Consider the following 20,687-nt stretch of genomic DNA (forward strand, 5'->3'; position numbering starts at 1 on the left):
ACTCTGCTTTTGTCTTCCTCTGTTTTTCCATTTGTATATTGAGTTCCTTGTGGCTATCTATCTCTGGAGCTTTTTTTCTCATTTTATTCCCCTTTCTATATCCTTCCTCATTCTTCCTTATCTTCTGCTTTCCTTGTCACCAAAAGAAAGAACAAACTTTTTTTTTGTTTGCTGAATTTATTAAATATTTATTGTACTAAAGCATGAAATGGAACACTTTCTCTTTTTAAAGCCTATATTAAGTTACATATTTTCGTAGGCCTTGATTGATTTTGTTGTTACTGTTTTTTCCCCCAGTGGGATAGAAAAAAAAAAGAAGAAGAAGAAGAATATCCACTTCAGGATTGGTAAAGTAGTGTCTCCCTGTGGCCTGACATAGTGTATGCATGGTCACCTTCAACTCCTAATGAAGAAAAATGTTTAGGCAAGCATTCGTGTTACCAAGGATCTGAGGTTAATTTTGTTGCTCTTGTCAAAAGCGTTATTTTTAAGGACAAGATTTGGTCTTTTCTCTCCTACCACTTCATTTCTCTTGCTCTTGCAGCTTTAGTTGCCATCTCTAAGAGGAAGACCTCCAAGTTCAAGTTCTTTGCTCTTAGTCTTGTATTTCCAACTCTTGAATTAGCAGCTCTATCTGGTTCTTCTACAGGTCTTTCAAACATGGTATGTTCAAAACAGCATGGTCTCCCTCTTCTCTACCCCTGTTCTTCTGGGTTAGCTGGGTTAGCTGGGAGGAAAGGCTTTGTAGATTGAAGGCAGCCCTCCCAATGTAAAAGGGATTCTTAATTTATACTGCTTGTTAACCATTATTCGGCAGGATTTGTTTCAGAATGTACATCATATATATATAATATATACATAGTATATGTATATCATTACATATATGATATATACATATGTATATATTATATATAAAATATATTTAAATTAGCCAAGTATTAGATGAAGTTTCCTTCACAAAAATTGAATTGCCAAGATTTTTTAGAGCAAATTATATATTTAGCAGTCATTTCTAATGGCACTCACAAAACTAAAGCATTAGAACCATGACACTGATTTTTAGTATTTGTTTTTGTTTATGTTGTGATATATTAAACAAGCGTATAGAAAGTTCCTGGTTTAGTTGTGCCCAGCTTAGCTCATTTCTCTTGCCTGAGCTCTAATGATGCTGCTGTAAAAGTGTCCCTTTTTTGCATCGGCTAAGAATTTTCCTCCTGACTTGGGATCCCTCTCCCTTGTGCTAATGCAGAGCCTCTGCTACCCAGAACGGCACATCTCTTTCACATGTGCTCTTGTTTCTTACCCCTCATCACTCCTGGTCAGTTCCTGCCTCGTTCTAGCAGGGACTCTCTCTACTTGTCACTGTGCCCAAAACTGGTAAGGGAGTGGACTTCCTAATTCTGCAGAATTGTGCTACAGAAAAAAGATTTAATGTCTGCTTTCAAGGTGCTCAGAGTCTAGAGAAATGGAAGAAAGTTACTAAAAATGCTAAGTTAAAGCTATATGCTGAGGGAACGCTGAAGGAGACCTCAACCCAGGCTGAAGATCTAGGAAGGAATCAGTCAGATGGAATGGATGGAGGGCTGGCAAAGAGATGAGGCTCGAAAGGAGATAGGAGCCAAATAAAGGGAATTTAAATTTAATCCCCCCAAATATTGGGTTCCTCAATTAGGAGAGTAACATGATTAGATTTATCTTACTTATAGCATGGAGAATGGATGGGAGGCATAAGGGTACAGGCAGAGAGAAACATTTGGGCTGCAGGTGAGAGATTGTGAGAGCCTGAATCCAGGCAATGGCCATGGGATGGGGGGAATTTAAGAAACTAGGGAGGAATTTAAAGACCAAAACAATATCACATAAGGAATGATGGGGCATATGGCTCAGGGAAGAATAGAAAAGGCATTTGAGAGAAAAGAGGGAGAGAGGATAGAGGGAAATAACAGAGGAAAAAATGGAGAGGAGAGATGGAACTGGAAGAAACGAGGAAAGAGGAAGAGAAAAAAGCAGGGAAATTTTCATTACTGCTCTTTCCACCATGTCCGCCAGCCTGGTTGTGTGCTTGTAAGGCAATTGAGAGGGACTGGGGAAACTAAGAAATGGTGAAAAACAGAAAAATCAAAATTGAAAATGAGAAGTGGGGAAACTTATTCAGCCTTATTTTTCATATCCATCCTCCAAGCCCTTGGTCCCCTCCTCCTTTATGACAGCTTCTGTTTCCATTGTTGGGTCTTTTTTATATTTTAAGTAACCATGTTGAATAGTATTGTGAAGGGAGGTGAATAATCCGTTTACTTAAAAATGTGTTGCTATGCATTATATCTCTAAGTATATTTTATAGTAGAAGAAAAGGTAACTTCTTACAGTTCCAGGTACTTGAACTTTACCTTCACCCAGAAAAGTAAAGTGTCATTATTTCAATGGGAATATGGACTGAGTTCCAAACAAATGTCTTACAATTAACTTTTCGGGAAAAAAATCTGTCTTTGAGCCCAGTACTAACCATATTAAATATATACACTATGAAGAAGAAAATCAGGAAGTGCTTTAAATGCTCTCTTCTTTAAACTTTGGCTTGTTCCTGCTGATTACTCACTATTTGAAAGTACATGATAGTTCTATTTAAAAGAAAAGTGAGAAATTCAGTCAAGAATGTTTTCATACACCCATAAATATTTGGCACTATATGGATAATTTCTTGCATTGACATAGAAAGGGACTCTCAAAGCCCATTTACATCTAATAAGGCATCACTGGATGCAACTAGGTTATGACCCCTTTGAAAAGAAGAGACTGATAAGCATCTTTACTGAGTTTGGCAGACTGCCCTTTGGATTAGCTGTTGATATGCCACATGTGGTACTTCTCAAAACAGAACAACTCATGTTTGAGGAATATATCAGTATTAGAATTTTGTGTAATTGTTTTATGAGGGCTGTAGGCCATGCACCCTCTGTGGGTGGCATTAGGGTTTCCTCTGAATGGCATGGACATTCTCATGGTGAGTCATCGTGGGGAGAGGGAGAGGTCAGTATTGGAGGAAGACTTGAGGATACAAAAATCAGGCCTCAGACTTTCTTCTTTTGGGTCGGGGGTCAGTTTGGCTGAAATGGTGGGGCAAAGTGATGCTGAGGCATGTCTGATGATTTGGAGTGAATACCTAGAGGCATTGAACTGTGTGGCAGACATGGGAATGTGTAGCATTCAGAACTCCAGCTAAGGAAGACTCATGCCCAGCTACGAGGAATATGGTTAGCTGACAACCTCCAACTATTCAGTTCTGCAGGTCCACCTCAGCTTTTGAGTCAAGGTCATGCACTTCCTTCTCTTCTCTAGGTAGCCTTAGCCCATGACTAAGAAAGACTGTGGTCCAAGGGTCTAGCCCTTTCTGCCCAAAGGTGGGCTCCTCTCAAGACAAGCTTTGATCTGGAGTTCCTGCTGGGCAGAAGAGACTTTGTTAGGTCTGCATCTCAGTAAGATGGCTCTCCTAGCCAATCCCAGCTCTTCCCTTTTATTCCCACTGGAGGTGGGATAAGAGGTGGGAATAAGAGGTCTTATTCTCCAGTAAATCTTTTGCACTCTCAACTTCCTACGTCTGCTTCCCTGAGGACCCAACTGATGACACACCCTGCCAAAAGGAGGCAGGCAAGGAGAGAGGTTAGGAGTGGTCACTCCCAGAGGATCCGCCCACCTTGGCCTCCCAAAGTGCTGGGATTACAGGTGTGAGCCACCGCGCCCGGCCTGCGCTCTTTTCTGATTCATGTAACTCTTCTTCTACTATCTGGGCTTTCTCCTCCAAATCAATATTTCCTACAACAAATATTTTCTTACATGTAAGTATTTTTTTAAAATTTTTTTTTCCCCTCTGATCAATTTGTAATGAGTACTGCTGCATTTGTCTGTTATTTTTAATTACTTTGCATGATTATGACAACTTTTCTTTCTGACTTCATCTTACTATTTCTATTTTTGTTGTGCATTTTAACATACATGGTGAATCTCCTTCTAAGCCATGGAAATGATCTGTAGTAGCTCACACTCTGTTTTTGGATCTTCTTTTCTTTCTTATTGAGTCCCTTAATTTTTATTTTTTCCTGTCCCCAGATATTTCTTATGCAAAAATGAAAATAAATTTAAAACACTTACTAATTTTTGCTTTTGTTTCAACCAGTCAATGCTTCCCATAAGAATAAAATAGTCAGAAATCCTTACTTTGTATTTTATTTATTTTTTTTTTGAGACAGACTCTCACTCTGTCACCCAGGCTGGAGTGCAATGGTGCGATCTTGGCTCACCGCAACCTCTGCCTCCCAAGTTCAAGCAATTCTCCTGCCTCAGCCTCCCAAGTAGCTGGGATTACAGGTGCCTGCCACTAAGCCCGGCTAATTTTTTTTATTTTTAGTAGAGATGGGGTTTCAACATGTTGGCCAGGCTGGTCTCAAACACCTGACCTCAGGTGATCCACCTGCCTCGGCCTCCCAAAGTGCTGGGATTACACACATGAGCTGCCATGCCCAGCCAAAATTCCTTATTATTCCTTCATCTGGTGTAAATTCTCAGCTGCCCTGAGCAAGTGACTGAGTGGTTATTGCTAAGCCAGCTTTATAGTAGTAAGAATAATTATCCTTGGATTTCTTTTTCATGTTCAATTTTCTCTTGGACTTTATTTCTAGGCTTTGTATATTTTCTAAGGGAAATGAACAATGATTTTACTGGCCTTTTTTTGTGCTTCAAGCTCTTTACATTAAGCTCTGTGTCTGAAGGAATTTTTCTTTTATTCTCTGTACCATGGGCCAGGAAATAGTTTAACCAATGTTTTCTAGAAATTGTATTCTCTGGCTATTATGCTGTGTGAACAATTTAGCAATTTCCTTCTACCTGCCATAACCACAGAAGGAGAATGGAGTAATATTGCTCTATGAAGATATTTGGATCTAACCTCTATAGCTGAAAGAGAAAAATTGAAGTTAAATGGGCAAGATTCATGTTTATTTTTGTTTGAGTTATTTATTAACACATGATAGGAACAGTTGTACTATGAAATGCTTCATTATTAGTTATGTAACATTGTTTTTACTGGGATACTAAAACCTTTATACTTTGTTAGTTTAGAGCAGTATTTCTAGAATGGTTTCTACCAATTTTTTCCCTTGAAATAGTTACTTTTTAATATAACTTAACATGACTATTCAAAATTCTAACAGCTTGATTAAGTGAAAAAAAACTTTGTATATTGACCAACGCTATCTTTTTTGAAAATGTGTAATGTAATAGAAGCATAGAATTTAGACAGAAGGGCCAGGCGTAGTGGCTCATGCCTGTAATCCCAGCTCTTTGGGCGGCGAGGCGGGTGGATCATTTGAGGTCAGGAGTTTGAGACCAGCCTGGCCAACAGGGTAAAACCCCGTCTCTAAAAATACAACAATTAGCCAGGCATGGTGGCGGGTGCCTGTAATCCCAGCTACTCGGGAGGCTGAAGCAGGAGAATTGCTTGAACCTGGGAGGTGGAGGTTGTAGTGAGAAGAGATCATACCACTGCACTCTAGCCTGGGCAACAGAGGGAGACCTCATCTCAAGAAAAAAAAAAAAAAGAATTTAGACAGAAGGAAAATCAGGAGATTGTCTAGTTTAACTTCCTATAGAGTGCAGATTCTCTCCAGCCACATTGTTGAGATATATAATTTGGTTTTTGCATTTAGTTTTTGCTTGAATGCTTCTATTGTAGAGAGCTCTTATGAAAGCTCACTTTCATTAAAAAAAAAAAAAACTCTAAGATTAAGAAAATCACTTAATTTGAATCCAAATCTGCTCTAGAACTTCCATTTGGTACCAGTTTTCCCTTTTGGAGTCACTCATATCATGCCTTCTCTGTTCTGCATGGCAGTGCTTTATATTTAAATATTGAGGTACATATCTCCTTATTTTTCTCCTTTCCAGGTTAAACACTGACACTCTCATCAGCCATTTTTTATGGCTTTCAACTTTTTCTCCACCTCACCTAATTCATGAATGATGATACTCTTAAATGTGATGTGTAAAGTTATACTCAATTCTTGCTTTAAAATATACGTGTAAGAAAGTGAAAAGACAACCAACATGATGGGAGAATATATTTGTAAATCCCATGTCCACTAAGATACTTGCATCCAGAATATAGGAAGAGTTCTTACAACTTAAGGTTAAAAAAAAATCCAATTTAAAAATGGACAAAGAACTTGAATTGACATTTCTCCGAAACAAAAAAAAGACCTAAGGTCAATAAACATGAAAAGACACTCAACATCATTAGTCATTAGGGAAATGTAAATCAAAGCCATATTGAGATACCACTTTATATTAGTAGAATGGCTATAATAAAAAAGATGACAGGCCGGGCGCGGTGGCTCCTGCCTGTAATCCCAGCACTTTGGGAGGACAAGGTGGGAGGATCACCTGAGGTCAGGAGTTTGAGATCAGCCTGCCCAACGTGGCGAAACCCCATCCCTACTAAAAATACAAAAAATTAGCTGGGTGTGGTGGCAGGCGCCTCTAATCCCAGCTACTCAGGAGGCTGAGGCAGGAGAATTGCTTGACCCGGGAGGTGGAGGTTGCAGTGAGCCGAGATCGTGCCACTGTACTCCAGCCTGGGCAACAAGAGTGAAACTCCATCAAAAAAAAAAAAAAAAAAAGACAGTAACAAGTCTTGGCTAGAATGTGGAGAAATTAGAACTTTCTTACATCACTGGTAGAATGCAAAATGGTACAACTACTTTGGAAAAATAGGTTGGCCATTCATCAAAAGGTCCAACACAGCCACCCCATTGACTGGCGAAGACATAGTGGCTGCAGCTCCGAGGAAAGCATTGGGAGAAGGGTGCTTCTTCTCACTTCTATTTGGCAAGTAAAATGTGTCTTTTAAAATCAGTGATCATATGTGAATTCTAGACATAGAAATCTGCTAAAGGAAAAAGGAAAGCTATTATTTAGTGGACTGAAAAACACAGATTTCATTTTATTTCTGGGCAGAAACATTTTTTAAATACTTAACTAAATTCATTTCCATTTTCCAATCTAACTTCTCCTCATCAGCTCCAGTTACCCTCCTGAAGCAGAATAAAGGGTTTTGTGTCCTATGTGTGCTCTCTGGGGAGCTCCATTCAAATAGAGAGAAGCCCACCCTCCTGTCAGAGCTGCCGTCCCAGTAGAGTTGGTAAACGTCATCAGATGTATAAGAAGGTCCTGTGTGTGTGTCAGCAAATAGACTAAGACGGGAAGCTTCCCTCTATCCCTCTCCTCCTCCCTCCTCTTTATTTCCATAAAACATTTAAAAGCACCCAAAGTGAAATATTGGAAGCAACAGGACAAAGAGGTCCTCCTTATCTTCTTTTAGCCACCTGAATCCCCTACTTAGGAGCAAACCACTCTCTATTATCCTTGACTCCCAGCTGCAGGCCTCAACCATCTTCTCTATTTATTCCCTTCTCCAAGAGCATCCTGGGGAGCTTATGCCCTCTGCTCTCACTTTAGTCAGGAGCAATTGCAAATTTTCAACTCTACCTTTTCATCTGGGGCAAGCTCAGACTTGTGAGCCCTGTCTGCCTACACACAGCACATAAATATGAACAGGGTCTTCTATTCACTACCATTGTTGCTACCAGTGAATTTTTATTGAGCACCTACTATGTTGTAGGGATTCTGCTACATTATGTTAACCCTCAAATTACTTGGGAGCCAGGATCTGTTTGTATATCCATTTTACAGACACTAACATGCAGCTTTTTAAGATTTTTTAATTTTAATTTTTATTTTTATACAGTGTCTCACTCTGTCATCCAGGCTGGAGTGCAGTGGTGTGATCACAGCTCACTGTAGCTTCAACTTCCCTGGCTCAAGCGATCCTTCCAGCTCAGCCTCTCAAGTAGCTAGGACTACAGGTTCATGCCACCATGCCCAGCTATTTTTTGTATTTTTTTGTAGAGACAGGGTCTTGCCATGTTGCCCAGGCTGCTCTTGAACTCCTGGGCTCAAGCAATCCACCCACCTCAGCTTCCCAAAGTGCTGGGATTACAGGTGTGAGCCACCACACCCAGCCTATGTAGCTTTGATAAGGTTCTTCACATAGCTAGATGATGGAAGACCCTGGACCCAATTCTGTGTATTTCTACAGCCCTGGCTCATAGCTATCATACTATTATTGCTTTTACATGTTAGAAATTTTGAAATGTTGAGTTCTGAACCAGTATTTCTGAGGGGTCTTAAAATATGGGCTTGGTGAAGTGGCTCATGCCTGTAATCCCAGCACTTTGGGAGGCTGAGGCAGGCAGACTGCCTGAGCTCAGGAGTTCGCCATCAGCCTGGGCAACACGGTGAAACCCCATCTCTACTAAAATACAAAAAACTTAGCCAGGTGTGGCGGTATGTGCCTGTAGTCCCAGTTACTCGAGAGGCTGAGGCAGGAGAATTGCTTGAACCCGGGAGGCAGAGGTTGCAGTGAGCAGAGATTGCGCCACTGCGCTCCAGCCTGGGTGACAGAGTGAGACTCTGCCAAAAAAAAAAAAAAAAAAAAAAAAAAGGCATAACATAAAATTTACCATTTTAACCATTGTTAAGTGTATAATTCAGTGTCATAAGTGCATTCACAATGTTGCATGATCATCACCACTATCCATTTCCAGAGTTTTCATTGTCCCAGGCAGAAACTCTGTATCCATTAAACATTAACTTTCCATTTCCCCTTCACCCCAGCCCCTGGTCACCTCTATGCCACTTTCTGTCTCAATTAATTTGCCTAGTCTAGGTAGCTCATATATGTGAAATCATACAATATTTGTTCTCTTCTTGAACCAATACGTTCTTTGCAGGATAAAAATATGATTGATTCCACCCTGCTTAAGACATCCCTGCCCTTCACTCAATGTGTAGCCTTCCTGAGTCTCAATATCCAGCTCATCCTTCCAATCCTGAGCATTTCTCTGGCCTCATCCATGGTCTTTCTGATCATGATCCCTGCCAGAATCACCTAGCAGTACTCTAAATTCTGGTCTCTTCTACATACTCTGTTCAGATGCTACCATACTCTGCACGTATAATACAGGCAAAACATCCATGCAGCACTTTACTGTTTACAAAGTGCTCTATTGTGCATATATCTTATTTGTTCCTCACAATATCCTTCTGAGGTAGATAGTGCAGCATTTGACAAATGAGGGAACTAAGAATTAAAGACAGGATGACTTACCCACATTTAGGCAGCTAGCAAATGCAGGACCAAGAGTCTCAAGGCCCTGGGCTTCTCTTTATAGCTCTTGATCTTCCCCACAAAGTCTGTCCCCCTCCCTCCTTTTAAAGAGGCTCAACTCCTGAGTTGGGCAGATGAATGCTCAGGAATGGCTTCTGTGTGTGGGCTGGGGGCAGGTAGGAGGAGGGATCAGAAGGAGGGAGAAATCAATTGCAGTTTTTCTCCCTTTAGATTCTGAGTTTATATTATTGTTTCCCCAATAATTTAGATTAGGTAAATCCAAATCCTGTCTATTGCTTATTGCTGTACTATGGTTTACAAGAAATAAAATGCACAGAGTTATTCTAGCCAAACACACACTTTGCTAGAGTTTCCTTCTTGCATCTTTATCTGCTTTCCTATCCTGTTGCACTGGACTGGAGAACACAGATACCTTCAGAAGCAGTGTATGTCTTCCTAAGCCTGTGACCAGCTCTAAACAGCAAACATCTAAATCCCACTCTCTTTGGCCTTACTCTATTTCCTCTTGAAATTCTAGAATCAAAGATGTCGCCTAAGATGGCACATACAGCCTGTGCCTTATGCTGCAAGACAGAAAGTATAGAGAATGCACATGAGAGTAGAAGATGCTTCTGAAGTTCTGTCACAAGTCCAGCTAAGTGTTTTAGCTCTTGGCCCTGAAGATCCCTGCCCAGTGGACGCTAGTATGAAAGGGCAAAAGCTGAGTGTGTGGCTAACACTTCTGCACATTCTGTATCATAAATTACCATAGACCTGTAGGTATCAATGGGGTTACGTTAATGGCAGTTACCCAACTCCTTTGGATAAATGAACTTCTGCCCCAACCAGCCTACCTATGAGTCCCCCTGCAAAGGTTCCTTCAGATACTTCTGTGAGTCCTCATAGAATGTCTTTTATGCCCTTGCAAACCTTTCTCCACTGGGTACCACCACCTCACACTTGGCATCCACCAGCTTCCTGGGGCTTCAGCACCTCCCAAGACAGCTGATGCACAGAGTTTTTGAGGTGCCAAAAGTTTATACTGTTCTGTTACAAAGCAGGGGCTTCTTATGTGTAACACTCTTAGAGGAGGTGGAAAGCCGATCTAGTCCTGTGAGTTATACAAAGTTAAGTATCTCCTTTAATATTTCCTTTACAGACCCCCTCTTCCCAATTACCTAATATAAGTCCAGTGGGTTCTGTCTGGGTCAGGAAACAAATTTGAATATTAGGACTTGACATTTAATATTGATATCAATGTTGTTTCCATAAGATTCCCTCCTCCTCCAACTACCAACATTTTCTTACTGAGTCCAACTCTTATAACGTCTAGCATCCGCTTTCTCCAGGATGAGTTTTCTCCAAGAGGCTTTTCAGGGCTTAGGAAAATGTGCCTCTGGAAAGTTCATCCCACTGTTTTGCCAAAAAAATGTTTAGACACATCTGATTTCAGTCTACCTGCTACATAGGTGTATTATTTCCACAGTGGCCCTTTCCCAAGCAAGACAGAATGTTGATACAGTCAGGAAGGCGTCCCAGCTGCAAATAACATGAAGTCTGACTAATAGACTTTTAGGGTGTCCCCACCCCAAAATGGGCTACACATCTTCATGTCTCACCTGCCTTTATCTAAATAATGGCATGAAGGCCAGGCGTGGTGGCTCATACCTGTAATCCTAGTGCTTTGGGAGGCCGAGGTGGGAGGATTGCTTGAGGCCAGGAGTTTGAGGTTGTAGTGAGCTATGATCATGTCACTCCACTCCAGTCTGTTGCACTCCAGGGCAATGGAGTCAGACCCTGTCTTTATCTAAATAATGGCATGAAGGCCAGGCATGGTGGCTCATACCTGTAATCCTAGTGCTTTGGGAGGCCAAGGTGGGAGGATTGCTTGAGGCCAGGAGTTTGAGGTTGCAGTGAGCTATGATCATGCCACTCCACTCCAGCCTGTTGCACTCCAGGGCAATAGAGCAAGACCTGTCTCTAATAAATAAATAAATAATGACATGAAGCTAACTAATTAAATGGACAGTTTAGGACCTCAAGACTTTTTACAGAGTTTTTCAGCATGACCCCTAGAAAGCCACTACAAAATTTTAGGAAATTGTATCAACAAATGTATACCATGTCAGACTATTCTCTAGGTCAAGAGTTCCTCTGGTATTTCAGTATTTCTCCAAGTGTGTTTTAAAGAATACCAGTCCTATCAGATTTTCTGAAACACACACACAGACGTTGGAGATGTTGCATGCTATTATCTGACTCTTAGAGCTCCACAGTGCACACTGGCATTTGAAAGATTCTTAAAAGTCATACTGTAAATAAGCTTGTTTACTTTAACTCACTGCTTCCAAAATTTTTTGAATACAAGAACATTTTGAGGCATAATGCCTGTGAATATCTTATAGAACTGGGGTTCTATGGCATATATATTTTGGGAAAGGTTGACCTACTCTATTTGTTTTTCTTTCTTTTTTTTTTTTTTTTTGAGATGGAGTCTTGCTCTGTTGCCCAGGCTGGAGTGCAGATCTTGGCTCACTGCAACCTCCGCCTCCCGGGTTCAAGCAATTCTTCTGCCTCAGCCTTCCGAGTAGCTGGGGCTACAGGCACGCACCACCATGCCAGGCTAATTTTTGTATTTTTAGTAGATATGGGGTTTCACCATGTTGGTGAGGCTGGTCTTGAACTCTTGACCTCATGATCCACCCACCTTGGCCTCCCAAAGTGCTGGGATTACAGGCACGAGCCACCGCATGTGGCTGACCTACTCTATTTCTTACGTTAAACTAGCTGTGTTATCCAACCAAGCTTATCAGGTTGAGTTGTCAAGCATGAACTGTTGATAATATAATACATATGATGTCGTGCTAGCAGTTTAACATGCTTCCAAATGGTTCCTTTTACCTTTGAAATTTATTAGTAGAAACACTTTCCCTTTAATAAGATCATAATGTAATTTCTTATTCACATAGATTAAGAAAAATAATGTTTTAGTTTAATATATGGCAGAGTTTTTTGAAATAAGTAACAGTTTGGCTTCTTAGAAACATATCTAAGGAAAAATAATATTATTTAAAAAGTTAAACTTAGTAGCAAATAGAAAATATTAAAGAGAAGAATTTTGTTAAAAAAAAAAAAGCATTCCACAATCAGGCAGGAAATAACTAGACTATAATATTATGGTTACCAATAAGAACCAAAATGAAATCAGTATCTTAGACATGTACCAAGGAGGAAAAAAATAAGAAAAAAGAAACTACTGAATTGTAACTGCTAACAACCTTCCACAAAGGTAAGCAATTCTGAGGAGCCAAATAATTGAACAGAACCCAAGTTCAGGTTATATGCTTCATTAAAATTTGTGGTCAGTGAACAGAACATTCTCAAGTGCCTCATGCCTGGACTAATTTTCTATCATGTCCACACAAACACATGCAGAGTCATGGTGATCAAACACCCAGCAGAGATAACAGCCAAATATGGCCAGCCTCACGATAATGTTGGAGAAGCAGTGCAGACTGTGGCCTGGAAACCCACAAGGTAGACCCGTGGGCGGTGACAAATTGGGCCTCTGGTAGTGCTGTTAGCATTTTGCAATTAACCACGATATCATACTTCACTCATAGACGGCAGTCTTTCTGACTTAAGGGTGGATAATCAGTAGCTTCTACAGCTACAGCAGGATTAGACATGAGCCTACATAATTATCAGAAAATATATGTCTCTAAATGCCTGCCTCAGAAACAAACAAGTGTCATCATTTATATACGTATTGGATCTTATGTAAACTTTTAATTTACTTTTAGTAGATATTTTAGATCTGGATTCCCAAAGGAAGAGTGCAAAATTTTACTTGTGTCTTTCTCGGATCTGCTCATGATTTGAAAAAAAAATACTGGTGCTATTTTGTTACTGTTATATAAAAAAACACAGAGGTTATTGTAGAGCACATGTAACCCAATGAAATGAGATTCTTGACTGAAAAACCTTTCAGAGTGTTGTAAAGATGAATGTGGGAAGCACAGTAAAGGGAATCTCTCTATATGTGTAATTTGATGGCTTCTGGAAGAATGAAACCTCAAATACTATGCTCACATGAATTTTAAAAGTTGCTTTGGAGATAAAAATCTTCAAAACTAATATTACATATGAGAATTTGAGCATTAAGGGTTTAGAAAAAGAAGAGATTAATCTACAGTTTACAAATAGACTATAAAATAGAGGCTCTTCTAGAAGTGAAAAAATCACAGCATTGTAGGTGCAACAGTATTTGGATTCCGAATATGTTTGACATTCAGCTCTTGCCACATTCTATATGTAGAACAAGGCAAACCCAGGGCCTAGACATGAACATGGAGGTAGGTGGAATTTGACATTCTGATATTAATATTAATTTATTTGGACATTTATTTTAGGGGATGAAAGGGTTCTATTATAGATAACCTATTATCACTCTGTGAAGACTTGCCTGTTGAAAACAAGTCCTGGTGATTGTGTTTTCTTTCTGTATCACAATCTAGTCAAGTGGTTAATAATCTGTACCAAACAAATAAAATAAACTAAACACATTTATTAAAATATGTTGTATTCTAAAAGCTAGGCTCATTTCCAGCATGTGGCCTATCACTGAAGCTCTGAGTTCTTAAAATCGTTGAGTTGAGAAATTTTTTTTCTGTGAAAGTGCTTTAATTCTATGAGGACACAGTAGGACTCTCCAAGGAAAGAAACTTACTAGGGAACTCTCATACCTTTACATTGATACAATCTCCCTTTTAAAAATCGTTTTAATTGTGGTAAGATTCACTTAACATAAAATTGACCATCTTAACCATGTTTAAGTGTATTGTGTCAAAGCCATTAAGTACATCCATATTACTGTGTAACCATCACCAACATCCACCTCCAGAACTTTTCATCTTGCAAAACTGTAACTCTTCACCCATTAAACAACAACTCCACTTCTCCCTTCTTCCAGGCCCTGGCAGCCATCATTTCTGCTTTCTGTGTCTGTGAATTTGACTACTCTAGGTACTTCATATGAATAGAATCATACAATATTTGCCCTTTTTTGATGGGCTTATTTCACTTAGCATAATGTCTTCAAGGTTCATTCCTGTTGTAGCATGAGTCTACAATCTCCTGTTTCAGTGGGTAAACAAAAAAGCAGCCCTAGTCACTTAATCTTTTTATATCCATATAATATTTTATATCAACTTACTTCAAAGGGACTCTACAAAGTTTGCCTGAGTTGTGATTTGAGTCCCCTTTAAGAGAAACCCATAATAACAAAGCAGTGGTAATGGAGGTGATGGCAGTGGTGGTGGTAGGTTGACTACATAATAAACAGGAGGAGGCATGAAGACAAGAGGCAGTTTTGACTCTATGTTAAAGACCACCTGCTCTACTCCCAGAGATTCTGGATCCACAGATCTGGGTGAGGTTCAAGAATTAATATTTAAAAAAAAACACAAAGAATGTGGAAAATTCAAATTCTTCTCTGTATAGCACTGTACTGGCTCCATTTGTGACTTCTGCTCACCATCAGCTGCTACACAGATAAATCAAATCCATCCTCTTTGTCACTTTCAAAATTTGAATTTGTCTCCTTTGCTTGAGGGAAAACACTTCAGTTTTGCTTAAGTAACAGACTTCATTTTATGTAGTTTTTAGTCCTTTAACATATAGTTTTCTTTCTTGTAGATATCCATTAAGTGTCAACATCTATTCAAAACGAGGCATCCAAAACTGCTCCTTGTTCAGCATCATTACCCAAAAGTCTGCCTGTGGTAGGTAGAATTCTAAGATGGCAGGTGGAATTAAGTTTGCTCATCAGTTGACAGTAAGAAAGGAAGATTACCCAGGTTAGCCTAACCTAGTCACACGGGCCTCTTAAAACCAGAGAGTTTTCTCCTGCTGGTTGCAGAAGTCAAAGAGATTCAAATCGAGAGAGGGATCCACTGAAAGGACTCTTCTCCATTGCTGAACCGGAGGGAGCCACATGGCAAGGACCCAAGAGCGACCTCTCTGAGCTGGGAGTAGTTCCCTGCTGAAAGCCAACAAGAAAACCAGACCTCAGTCCTACAACCACAAGTCCTACAACTGCCAACAACCAATGGTACTTGGAAACAAGATTTCTCCCTAGCTGAGGCTCCAAGAGAGGATGCCAATATCTTGATTTTAAGCCTTATGAGACCCTCAGTGGAGGACCCAGTTAAAACGTGCCAGGCTCCCGAGTCACAGAAACTGTGATGTTTTAAGCCACTAAATATGTGGTAATTTGTTATACAAATATAGATAATGAATATACTGCCCCTTCTATTTTATACTTCAACAATACTTATCTATGTGCAGTTTCTGAACTTAGTTGCTCTCTTGGTCTTACATAGCTTTGTTCTCGACATTTCCTTGCCTGGAGTATTCCCTTTTATCTGATCAGACGTCAGATGGACAAACTCTCAACTCTTGATGTTCAAGACACATCTCAGGCATTACTGCCACCAGAAAACGCCACTGCCTTCCCTGGGCAGACTTCCTGTGTTTATTAGTCCCTTCTGCCTATAGGAATTAGAGAGCCCTGAAAAACTACAGGCAGGAGAATTTTCAGTTAGCAACTTTACGATTTTATGGAAAAACTAAAATGTTGAGGACTGAAATTGGGAATGAATGTATGAAAGTCCTCATAGATATTTTTATATTCCTTTAAATAATACAAGCAGTTTACTATGTAATGATAGGAACAATGATGTTCTATATATCACATTGGCAACATTGGCGGTCTGCTTTTTGCATTTACCACTTTTTGCTAAATAGATACTTTTAAGGATTTTCTTCCTCTGAAGTTTCAGTGAGATGCTTGTGAATGTCTCCTGTTTTGTTCCAGAGGCATGTGACTGTGTAACTGGAGTTATTGGCTTGGGGAACAGGAGCCAACCTCAGTATCTCAGAGTACCAAGAGGCTATAATAACCTTCCTGGTAACTTCATACCAAACCTCAGACCCTCCTATACTCCATCCTCCAATCATTCGAGCTCTCCCTTTCCTCTGGCTCTAGTACTAGAAAGCAGGATGCAAACACCACGAATTTCATCTACTTGATCTTGAGAATTGCAGAAACTCTATCTCTGCACTCCTCTTTACTTCCTTTTTCTATCCTAATCCTTAATTCCATTTTCTAATTAAAGTATATTCTGCATGCACAAGGACTACCTCCCCTAATCTTTGATAATTCCCAGATGCACAAGTACATCATGGCAAGGAGCAAGCCCCTATCATAAGACAGAGCCCCTAAGGCTACAAAGAAGAATAATATGCAATTCTGTCTGTTTTCAAGAATTTCATCTACAGATAGAAGCAATCCAATTCAGCAGATAAAGCGCTATCCAGAAATTCAGGCAACAAATTGAAGTTGATATAGATGGTATCAATGAGATTCAGTATTTATTAACAGGTATCCAATATGCAAAGCATGGAAATTGGAATTTAGGTACAGAAATATTTCAATATGGAAGCAGACATCAGGGAAGTCTGCTAGGAGATGGCAAGGTAGGAAGCAGGGTACTTGGAAGGAGGTTCAGATACAGGATTTTAGTCTCTGGTAAGAAACTAACAAGAGCAAAGCCGAGTCTCAGTTCTTTGGGGGATTGGAGTCCTGATAAACAAAAGGCAAGGACTCCCACATGGAAAGTCAAATCTGTGACCCACTTACTAGAAGGAGGCCACAAACCAGGGGCTTCTTCTTGGAAACAGTTTTTAAAACTGGAGCAAGCCAGAAACTCCATGTCATTCTAGAAATCTACTTGAACAAGTATGCAAACATATACGTGCAAAGCTGTTCACTGCAGCGTTGTTGGTAATAGCAAAACATTTAGAAACAATTGAATGCTCACCTGTGGAGTCCTGGTTACATAAATGATGGGATATCCAAACAGGGAAATACTTTGCATCTCTTAGAATCAATGAGGAAGCTAGCTCATATGAACTGATATGGAAAATTTCCAAAATGTACTATTAATTGAAAAAAATTGAGAGACAGGATCATATGAACAGTGTGATATCACCAATGCAAAAAGGAAAGGATACACAGTACCTGGACAAGATACACTTCTGTAAACACATACACCCGTGCTCACACACACACAAACCCCTGTGTATATGTATTATCAGTGTCCATTCCAGGAAACAAAAACCATTCTAAGTATTTCAAACAGAGAGAATTTAATACAAGAATTGGTTAAAAATTGTTGCTGATCCAAAGGGGGAAGGGAAGGGAAGTCTACCCAAAGGTGAACAACGTTAGGAAACCAATAACATCTAGTGGAGCAAAAGGGAACATTATTTAAGCAAGAATCCACAATTGCTGTGGTGCTAAAGCTGCTGGAGGAATGTCTAGGATCAATCCTAAATACTCCACATTCCAACCATGACATCCCGTTTATGTGCTTTCTTTTGGGCCCCCATTAGGCTGAGGGAAGGTCTTAAATGGCATTCTACTGGTTATATTATTAGTCATTTTATAGAATTAATCAATTGTGTCAAGGGCAGGGATCTTATATTAATCCTTTTGGCTTTTTGTTTGTTATTAGATACACTCCTTCTGTTTTGTAAATGTGGAATGACTTAAGGCTTTGCTTAACTCGTTAGGGCAGAGGTGGTGGGGAGAATGGAGAGGAAGCCTCGTATATTATCAAAGACAACTAAAGCCAAGATATTTACAACAATAATCTACAAATGATTTTATTTTAGCCTCTCTGAAAAGAGCTTGTTTAAAAACTGAGTGAGGAAAGTGTTGGGATTTTTTAGATTAACTTTCCAAACAGAAATGTGTACTATATTTTTAAAGGAGACAAGTGTATTACTTCTTTACGAGTCAGTTGAACCAATTTCATCATGAAGGTCTCTGTGTGTGATGTTTCTTGGGCACCCGTTGAAATCCTCCCAGCCTCACCTGTCTCTTATTCCAGCTCCTACTGCAGCAACCAGTTCTGTGTGGGCAACAGTTTCCTGCAATCACAATCAGGCATTGCCTGGCCTCTCTGCACATGGCCGTCTCCGGCTCTCCAGCCCGGGCTTCTCTGTCGACACTGAGGGCTGCAACAATCTGCAAAGGCAGGGCCAAACCCTTGATGAGATAAATGCTTTTTCCACTTTCCCCCTGGTTGGGCAGCCTTGAGTTTCACAAGGCAGTCCAGCGGTCCTGTGAGAGGGAGTGAGCAAACAGGAGTGCATCTTTGTATTAGCTCTCCCCCGTCATTCCTCCTTCCTGAATCACACTCCTCAGTAAAGTACTTCAAGTTAAGTACAGTATTTGTTTCAGGCTCTGCTTTAAGGGGAACCCAGGCTATGACAGTCCCCAATATACAATACTATGGCTCTGATGATGGTCCAATTTGGTGATGGCTGGGAGAAAAATGCACTGAAAATATGATCACCGTATGTTACATGGCCAAGACCTGAGCCTGATGATTTTGTTATAATATTCATGAAACATAGTAAAATGGAAAAAATCCACAGACAGGAGGAAGAACTGGAACCAGAGACTCAAATGCTATCAGGACTGTCTCTACAATTCTCATTTGCTTTGTTTATCTCTCTGTCTTTCTGTTTTTCTGTTTCCCTGTCTCTGCAGTTGCATCTGCTTCTCTGGTTCACATGGTAAAAAAGTATCAGCGTTGGGCAGAGGGGACTCTTCCCCCTTTTCCCCCTATTTCCAAGTGCAGGCACCTCTGTCAAGGCACATCCTCTGCTTTCTCTGCAGCCCTACACCTCAACCTCTCCCCAGGGAAGGAGTGATTTAGCTGATTTGTGAGTTTGGAGAAAGAGACAGAATATATGTGGCTGAGATGCATCCTTTCTTCTCTCTGTTTGCGAAATGAGTATTTGTTTTTCTGGGTTTTTTTTTTTTGTTTGTTTGTTTTTTTTTTTTGAGACAGGGTTTTGCTCTTGTTGCCCAGGCTGGAGTGCAATGGTGCGATCTCGGCTCACTGCACCCTTCAACTCTCGGGTTCAAGCGATTCTCCTGCCTAAGCCTCCCGAGTAGCTGGGATTACAGGCACTCACCACCATGCCTGGCTAATTTTTGTATTTTTAGTAGAGACGAGGTTTCACCATGTTAGCCAGGCTGGTCTCGAACTCCTGACCTCAGGTGATCCACCTGCCTCGGCCTCCCAAAGTGCTGGGATTACAGACGTGAACCACCACGCCCGGCCCATGCAATGAGTTTTAAAGAGTCAGACCCCTACTGGGAGAGCCAGCACTAGTGCAGCTGTGCCTATGACTGGGTGAGTAATTCTCTTTAATTCAAGGGTGGAACATAAGTAGGTCAATATATCATATTCTCTCCTACCATCTCCAGGCTTGTTTGACATTTATTAAATATGACATTTTGATCTCCAATGGTCTGAGTCCTGCATCTATCTCTCAGTTGGTTCTGAGCTTGGATGCATATTAATGTGTTATTATAATACATATTAATGTGAAATATATTAGTATACATCAATAAATATAGCAGGGGTTTTATATATTGATCCTCCTAAGACCTTCCAGTCACCAACATCCTCCATCTTTATATTTACAATTTTTACACAAGAAGAGAGATGATTTTCTTTTCACTTCTACTTCCAAATTTCCTGGGGAGGGACTCTAGTTAGTGCAGAATAAACCCTGACTTGGGAGGCAAGAAAATAGGACTGGCTAAGTTTGGATCAGATGCCCACTGATGAACCAAACATCTATGATCAGAAGGGTAAGTCAATTTCTAACACAGCATCTCTGCCCAACCACAGCTGTGCTACTACCATGAACACAAGCCATGTACAGCCCATTAAGCTGGCCAGTGATACCAAGGTTCTGGGCAGGACTGACTAGCAGGGACAGTACACACAGGTGCATGTGGAATTCATGGACTTCCTGAGCTACTCCATAATCAAGAACATAAAAGGCCACAGCTGGGAGGGAGATGTGCTCACCCTATTGGGGGTCAGAGCTAGAGGCTTGCAGGCTACATGGAACCTGCTACTTGGTCTTAGATAGGTCGACCACTTGGCCTGCATGGAATATCTGTTGCTCTTAAATGAAGTGTTTATATTGTATGAGGAGAAAATTGGAACATGGGTGATCCAACTGCATCTGGGTAGATGGCATGGGAGGAGAGACAGTTCTTAAAAGCAGACAAGCTTTGAGGCCCCAGATTTAGAGATGTCCACTTCTTCCCCCAGCAATTATTCTGAAATTTCACCTCTGCCCTCAGTTTCCCTATCATAACTTCACGTTGCCCTACTTTGCCTCAGAAAAGGAACTCAAAGTCCAGGCACAGTGGCTCATGCCTGTAATCCCAGCACTTTGGGAGGCTGAGGTGGGCATATCACTTGAGGCAGGGAGTTCGAGACCAGCCTGGCCAACATGGTGACATCCCATCTCTACTAAAAATACAAAAATTAGCTGGGCGTGGTAACAAATGCCTGTAATCTCAGCTACT

General features: G+C 40.5%; 1 long non-coding RNA gene and 1 pseudogene across 1 annotated transcript in view, besides 2 other annotated features; one reads left to right on the top strand and one right to left on the bottom strand.

The window, feature by feature from the left end:
- LOC105370176 (uncharacterized) overlaps positions 1–20,687 on the bottom strand; it is a 39,040-nt gene that overhangs the window by 8,585 nt on the left and 9,768 nt on the right. Inside the window, exon 2 of the long non-coding RNA XR_941905.3 lies at positions 18,159–18,311. This is a non-coding gene — a long non-coding RNA (uncharacterized LOC105370176). The remainder of the gene's footprint in view (positions 1–18,158; positions 18,312–20,687) is intronic.
- Positions 17,889–18,389: an enhancer, noted in NCBI's record as "H3K4me1 hESC enhancer chr13:42575448-42575948 (GRCh37/hg19 assembly coordinates)". NCBI's record gives its function as "activates a minimal SCP1, AML or CMV promoter by ChIP-STARR-seq in naive H9 embryonic stem cells {active_cell/tissue: H9 hESC(naive)}" and the evidence as "EXISTENCE:reporter gene assay evidence [ECO:0000049][PMID:30033119]".
- Positions 18,390–18,890: an enhancer, noted in NCBI's record as "H3K4me1 hESC enhancer chr13:42575949-42576449 (GRCh37/hg19 assembly coordinates)". NCBI's record gives its function as "activates a minimal SCP1, AML or CMV promoter by ChIP-STARR-seq in naive H9 embryonic stem cells {active_cell/tissue: H9 hESC(naive)}" and the evidence as "EXISTENCE:reporter gene assay evidence [ECO:0000049][PMID:30033119]".
- RPS28P8 (ribosomal protein S28 pseudogene 8) lies at positions 20,009–20,213 on the top strand (annotated as a pseudogene).

Source organism: Homo sapiens, chromosome 13 (assembly GCF_000001405.40).
Source record: "Homo sapiens chromosome 13, GRCh38.p14 Primary Assembly".
Lineage (NCBI taxonomy): Eukaryota > Metazoa > Chordata > Mammalia > Primates > Hominidae > Homo > Homo sapiens.